Genomic DNA, 7,171 nt, shown 5'->3' with positions numbered 1-7,171 from the left:
TCGGGCAGTCAGCTCTTTAGGGACTTTTGAATAACCCCTCAGCCTACAGGATAATAATCTATCTGGTTAGAGTGTGTGGTCACTGAGTTTATTAGTTCTTGCTCTAGGGATGCTTCCTGCTTTCTCTGTCATCCTCTAGTTCACTTGCTGATTCCCAGTACCCAGTTGCCCACAGGCACAGAGAGAAATAAATATTAATTGTGTGTGTATAAGCTTATGTGTATACATGTGTATGTAGGTATATATATATATATATATATACATAAAAGCATAATTTAAAAAATAGAGACTCTATATCTATAGAGAAATGCACATCCATGTTCTATGAACAGGCATCTGTATAGCAGAGGAAACAGAACATTTATAGTTTACCCTTTTAAAATATGAATCTGAGGCAGAGTATGATGGCTCACACCTGTAATCCTAGTACTTTGGGAAGCCAAGGTGGGTGGATTGCTTGAGTCCAGGAGTTCAAGACCAGCCTGGGCAACATGGCAAGACCATGTCTCTACAAAAAACACAAAAATTAGCCAGGTATGGTGGCATATGCCTGTGGTTGCAGCTACTCTGGAGGCTGTGGCAGGAGGATCATTTCCTCTCGAGAGGTGGAGGTTGCAGTGAGCTGAGATCATGACACTGTATTCCAGCCTGGGTGACAAAGTAAGAGCCTGTCTCAAATAAATAAATAATTTAATTTAATTTAATTAAACATTAATCTGATCCTATCACAGCACCCACCCCAGGCTTGAAGCCCTTTCAATGGCTTCTCATTGCTCTAAAAATATTGCAAGGCTCAGCAATGTTTGTTCCTACATCCTCAGCTGTCCCCTTGCTCTCTCTAATCCAGACACCCCAGCCTTCTCTCAGTCCCCTCACTATCCATGCTCTCACACACCACAGGACCTTTCCACAGGCCATTCCCCTAGCCTTGAATGATTTCCCTCTACCTAGTTGTCTACTCATCTTTCAGATCTTAAGTGTCACATCCTCAATGGCCCCTCCCCCCAAATCGAAATTCTACCTCATACACACGTAAAGCACCATGATCACCTTTGGAGCACCTACCACACTTGCAATTTCACTTTTGCGTGATATTTTTAAATTCATTATTATTATTATTATTATTATTATTATTATTATTATTATTATTTTGAAACAGAGTCTGTCTCTGTTGCCTAGGCTGGAGTGCAATGGCGCAATCTTGGGTCACTGCAAACTCTGCCTCTCGGGCTCAAGCAATACTCCTGACTTAGCCTCCTGAGTAGCTGGGACCACAGGCACATGCCACCATGCCAGCTAATTTTTTGTATTTTGGGAAGATACGGGGTTTCACTATGTTGCTAACGCTGGTCTTGAACTCTTGGAGTCAAGTGATCCACTTGCCTCAGCAGTGAGATTACAGGCGTGAGCCACCACCATCCTGTGATTTTTAAAATACCTTCTACTTCCCCAGTAAGACTTCAGAGCACAGGAACAATCCCTGCTTGCTGCTTACAGTTGCCTAGCTCAGTGCTTGGTACATAGTAGGTGCCCAATAACTACTTGAATGAATAGATGAATAAACGAATATGTGAAAGCACATTGTAGAACACCATGCATGCAATAGATGTTAACTTCCTTCCTTTCACCATTCAGCAAAAATTTTCTCTTAATTTCTCCTTGCTTTGAAATACAGTTTGATTGGCAAATAATTAAAAGCAAAACTTAACTTTAGAAAGTCATAACCCAATAACTCAAAACAACACATTTGTAACTATTTATTTGCCCGGAGATAACTACAAATGCCTAAAAGTTTGCCCACATTCAGAGATTTCTACATTAGAAAAGTCTTAATTTTCTAAACAGACAAGTGATAAGATTATCATTTTCTGAAAATATCCTGAAATCAGTCTGTTGTTTTACAAGTGTTTGTAATTGTTGACCAGGTAAACCTTGTGTGAATCCCTAAAAACCCAATGCCAGTACTGAAAATCAATCCACAGACCACATGGAAATGAGATCACATGATAATTATTTTTTGTATTTTTATGCATTTATTTTTTATTTATTAATATTTTTTGAGACAGAGTCTCACATTGTTGTCCAGGCTGGAGTGCAGTGGCATGATCATGGCTCACTGCAGTCTCTATCTCCTGGGCTCAAGCAAGCTTCCCACCTTAGCCTGTGAAGTAGCTGGTACTACAAGTGCATGCCACCACATCCAGCTAATTAAAAAACATTTTTTTTTTTTTTAGAGATGGGATCTTGCTATGTTGCCCTGGCTGGTTTCAAACTCCTGGGCCCAAGCGATTCTCCCTCCTCAGCCTCCCAAAGCACTGGGATTACAGGTGTGAGCCACTGCACCCAGCCCCATAATTAATAAAGCGTTCACATAAACTTTCTAGTTCATTTAAAGTTTTTTATTTCTAAATCATTTTCATCACATAATTTGTGAGTCCCTAAATCTGCGTGAGGTAGTGGAAAAACTCTGGGCTTGGAATCAGAAAGCTGTAAATCTACTTTACAAGGTTATTGCAAAGATTAAGTGGGGGTAATAATTTTTTAAAAAATAATCTCTCATCTGTTAAACACATACCTCACATTGTAGATGGAGCTAGCTGTGTTACATTATTGTCAATTAATTCTTTAAAAAAAGACTATGGGCCAGGCATGGTGGCTCATGCCTATAATCCCAGCACTTTGGGAAGCATAAGTGGGTGGATCTCTGAGCTCAGCAATTTGAGACCAGCCTGGGCAACATGGAGGAACCCCATCTCTACCAAAAATGCAAAAAATTAACAGGGCATGGTGGGGCACACCTGTGGTCCCAGCTACTTGGGAGGCTGAGGTGGGAGGATTGCTTGAGTGTGGAGGTGGAGGTTTCAGTGAGCCAAGATCACATCACTGTATTCCAACCTGGGTGACAGAGTGAGACCCTGTTTCAAAAAAAAAAAATCTTATGAAATATGTATTATTACCCCTACTATATAGATGAAGAAATTGAGGCTCTTGGAAATTGACGATCTGGCCCAAGATTGTACATCCCATCAAGCTGCAGGGCTAAGATGTATGAAAAAGGGCTCTAGCTAGGATGTATGTAGCTGTAACTTGCTATAAAAATTAAGGTGTCTTATTATAAAATATCTCTGAAATGATAGTTCCTATTAATATTCCTATATGTTCCTCCTTCCTATGTATCCATATCATACATCCTTATCAGACATTGTAAATCAAACCAAATTAGAAGCAGGAGCAAGATCTCAGCCAACAGATCATCATGTGTGCAAATTGCTTCTCTGCCCCCTCGTTTTTGTTTTCCCAGTTTCTTTTCTTTTTCTTTTTTTTCTTTTTTTTTTGACAGGGTCTTGCTCTGTCTCCCATTGTGCAGCGGCATGATCTTGGCTCACTGCAATCTCTGCCTCCCATGCAATTCTTATGCATCAGCCTCCTGAGTAGCTTGGATTATAGGTCTGCGCCACCACTCCTGGCTACACCATGTTGCCCAGGCTGGTCTTGAACTCTTGGGCTCTAGTGATCCACCCGCCTTGGCCTCCCAAAGTGCTGGGATTACAGGTGTGAGCCATCACACCCGGCCCCCCGTTTCCATATTAGTAACTCACATGTAGACCACAAGGATGCACTATTTAGAAAACTTGCAATGGTCCACTTTTCAAATCACCCAAACATGTTAAAGAAATTGGTATGACTGGGCATGGCACAGTGGCTCATGCCTGCAATCCTAGCATTTTGTGAGGCTGAGACGGGCAGATCACGAGGTCAGGAGATTGAGACCATCCTGACAGACATGGTGAAATCCCATCTCTACTAAAAATACAAAACAATTAGCCGGGGGTGATGGCAGGCCCCTGTAGTCCCAGCTACTCGGGAGGCTGAGGCAGGAGAATGGCGTGAATCCAGGAGGCAGAGCTTGCAGTGAGCCGAGATGGTGCCACTGCACTCCAGCCTGGGCGACAGAGCGAGACTCCGTCTCAAAAAAAAAAAAAAAGAAAGAAATTGGTATGACTGTTGACTCACAACAGGAGTCAGGGGCATGGGGTGGGGTGTAAGATTAATGTCATGACAAATGTGGAAAAGAAACTTCTGTTTTTCCAACTCCACGTCTGCTACCATATTATTACACTCTTCTGGTAGTGTGGTGTTTATGTGTGAATTTTTTTTCATATGTATACAGTAATTGTAGGATATGAACCTGATTCTAGTTGCAAAACTCACTATGAGCTTAGCTTTTAAGTTGCTTAAGAATAGGTAGATCTATGCAAATAATGATAATTATTATTATTATTTTAAGAGAGGGTCTCACTTTGTCACCCAGGCTGGAGTGCAGTGGTGTGATTAAGGGTCACTGCAACCTCCACCTCCCAGGCTCAAATAAACCTCCCACCTCAGCCTCCCCAGTAGCTGGAACCACAGGCACGGGCCACCACGCCTGGCTAATTTTTTGTATTTTTTGTAGAGATGGGGTTTCATCATGTTGCCCAGGCTGTTCTTGAATTCCTCGGCTCAAGCAATCCTCCCACCTTGGCCTCCCAAAATGCTGGCATCACAGGCATGATGGCATCACTGGCATCACATACCATGCCTGGCCTGATTTATGCAAATTAGATATGCATTTCAAAATAATCTATTTTTATTTGTTGCCTTATTGGTGGTACAATCTCAAGTGGAAAAATCTAAGGGTTTTGGTGTTATTTGCTTACTCAACCAATATTTATTAGACTCTTACTAAGCACCAACATGATCACATGCCTGAGCTATGGCTAGCATAGCGTGTGAGACAAACTTAATCTCTGTTTTGGTGGAGCATATAATCTAGTAGATGAAGCCAATGTTGAGCAACATCACAATACTAACAAATTGAGGATGCTACGAGAGTGTCTAACAAATTGAGGATGCTACGAGAGTGTCTAACAAATTGAGGATGCTATGAGAGTGTGTCATGGAGAGCTGCCTGGAGATTGAGAGAAAGCTTCCTTGAGGGAAGTTACATTTCAGCTGAAACACACTGCCATCTGCTCGAGGTTTTGTAACTGCATTCACATCCCGATTCTGACACTTCACATCCCGATTCTGACACTTCACCCAGTTACTGTCTCAGAGCTTGGGTCCGCATGTGTAAAACAAGGACAGTATGCACTTGGCAGGGTTGTGAGAAGGGAAGAGAACACAAGTAAAGCACCTGTATCAGGCATACAGTAGGCACTAAGCGTGCGATGCTTGCTATGATTATACATCAGTGTAAGCATCAAGGAAAAGCTGAAGAAAAGTCTGACCAACAGCGAAAGATAAATGCGCAGAGGAGAAATTTGGCAAAGGCTCCAAATTCAGGGGCAGTCCGTACTCTACACTTTGTATGGGGGCTTCAGGTCCTGAGTTCCAGACATTGGAGCAACTAACCCTTTAAGATTGCTAAATATTGTCTTAATGAGAAGTTGATAAAGAATTTTGGGTGGTTGATCTCTTTCCAGCTGCAGTTTAGCGTATGCTGAGGCCAGATTTTTTCAAGCAAAAGTAAAATACCTGAGAAACTGCCTGGCCAGAGGACAATCAGATTTTGGCTGGCTCAAGTGACAAGCAAGTGTTTATAAGCTAGATGGGAGAGGAAGGGATGAATACTCCATTGGAGGTTTTACTCGAGGGTCAGAGGGATACCCGGCGCCATCAGAATGGGATCTGGGAGTCGGAAACGCTGGGTTCCCACGAGAGCGCGCAGAACACGTGCGTCAGGAAGCCTGGTCCGGGATGCCCAGCGCTGCTCCCCGGGCGCTCCTCCCCGGGCGCTCCTCCCCAGGCCTCCCGGGCGCTTGGATCCCGGCCATCTCCGCACCCTTCAAGTGGGTGTGGGTGATTTCGTAAGTGAACGTGACCGCCACCGAGGGGAAAGCGAGCAAGGAAGTAGGAGAGAGCCGGGCAGGCGGGGCGGGGTTGGATTGGGAGCAGTGGGAGGGATGCAGAAGAGGAGTGGGAGGGATGGAGGGCGCAGTGGGAGGGGTGAGGAGGCGTAACGGGGCGGAGGAAAGGAGAAAAGGGCGCTGGGGCTCGGCGGGAGGAAGTGCTAGAGCTCTCGACTCTCCGCTGCGCGGCAGCTGGCGGGGGGAGCAGCCAGGTGAGCCCAAGATGCTGCTGCGCTCGAAGCCTGCGCTGCCGCCGCCGCTGATGCTGCTGCTCCTGGGGCCGCTGGGTCCCCTCTCCCCTGGCGCCCTGCCCCGACCTGCGCAAGCACAGGACGTCGTGGACCTGGACTTCTTCACCCAGGAGCCGCTGCACCTGGTGAGCCCCTCGTTCCTGTCCGTCACCATTGACGCCAACCTGGCCACGGACCCGCGGTTCCTCATCCTCCTGGGGTAAGCGCCAGCCTCCTGGTCCTGTCCCCTTTCCTGTCCTCCTGACACCTATGTCTGCCCCGCCAGCCGCTCTCCTTCTTTTGCGCGGAAACAACTTCACACCGGAACCTCCCCGCCTGTCTCTCCCCACCCCACTTCCCGCCTCTCATTCTCCCTCTCCCTCCCTTACTCTCAGACCCCAAACTGCTTTTTGGGGGGTATCATTTAAAAAATAGATTTAGGGGTTACAAGTGCAGTTCTGTTCCATGGGTATATTGCATTGTGGTGGCATCTGGGCTCTTAGTGTAACTGTCACCCGAATGTTGTACATTGTATCTAATAGGTAATTTCTCATCCCTCATCCCTCTCCCACCCTCCCACCTTTTGGAGTCTCCAGTGTCTACTATTCCACTAAGTCCATGTGTACACATTGTTTAGCGCCCACTCTAAATGAGCCTTTTTGTTTCATTCATTCTGTAAGTGTTGAATAGGCACCACCTAAGGTCAGGTATAAGTGGAAATTTGAAAAAGAAACTGCCCACTTGCCCCAGTACTTCCCTAGCCAAGAGGAGGGAAACCAGGCAGGTGCACCTGAAGGCCTGTGAGTGCTTGATTTGCTGTGCAGTGTAGGACAAGTAAGATTGTGCATAGCCTTCTGTATTTAAGACTGTGTTAGGAAGATTTCTCTTTCTTTTCTTTTCTTTTTCTTTTTTCTTTTCTTTTTTTTTTTTTAGGCAGATGAAAAGGGCGTCACAGAACAGGAATAAAAATCTAAATATTCAATAAATGAGACCTAGGAGACTACTGCAGTGACTTACAAAGTCCTAATAAAAAGATGTCTCTCCAAAATG

General features: G+C 44.9%; 1 protein-coding gene across 4 annotated transcripts in view; it reads left to right on the top strand.

Annotated features, from left to right (window-relative positions):
• The window catches only part of HPSE (heparanase), a 42,693-nt gene continuing 41,265 nt past the window's right edge, over positions 5,744-7,171 (top strand). For 2 of the 4 annotated variants that reach the window (NM_001166498.3, NM_006665.6), the window contains exons 1-2: positions 5,744-5,849; positions 6,084-6,341. In NM_001166498.3, the coding sequence (NP_001159970.1) occupies positions 6,115-6,341 (227 nt within the window). In that variant the 5' untranslated portion in view covers positions 5,744-5,849; positions 6,084-6,114. Of the gene's footprint in view, positions 5,850-6,048; positions 6,342-7,171 lie in introns of those variants that run through there. The other 2 variants (NM_001098540.3, NM_001199830.1) reach the window with 2 other exon arrangements.

This window comes from Homo sapiens, chromosome 4 (genome assembly GCF_000001405.40).
Source record: "Homo sapiens chromosome 4, GRCh38.p14 Primary Assembly".
NCBI lineage: Eukaryota > Metazoa > Chordata > Mammalia > Primates > Hominidae > Homo > Homo sapiens.
Note: the sequence above shows the minus strand (reverse complement) of the source record. Positions and strands in the feature narration are given on the sequence as shown.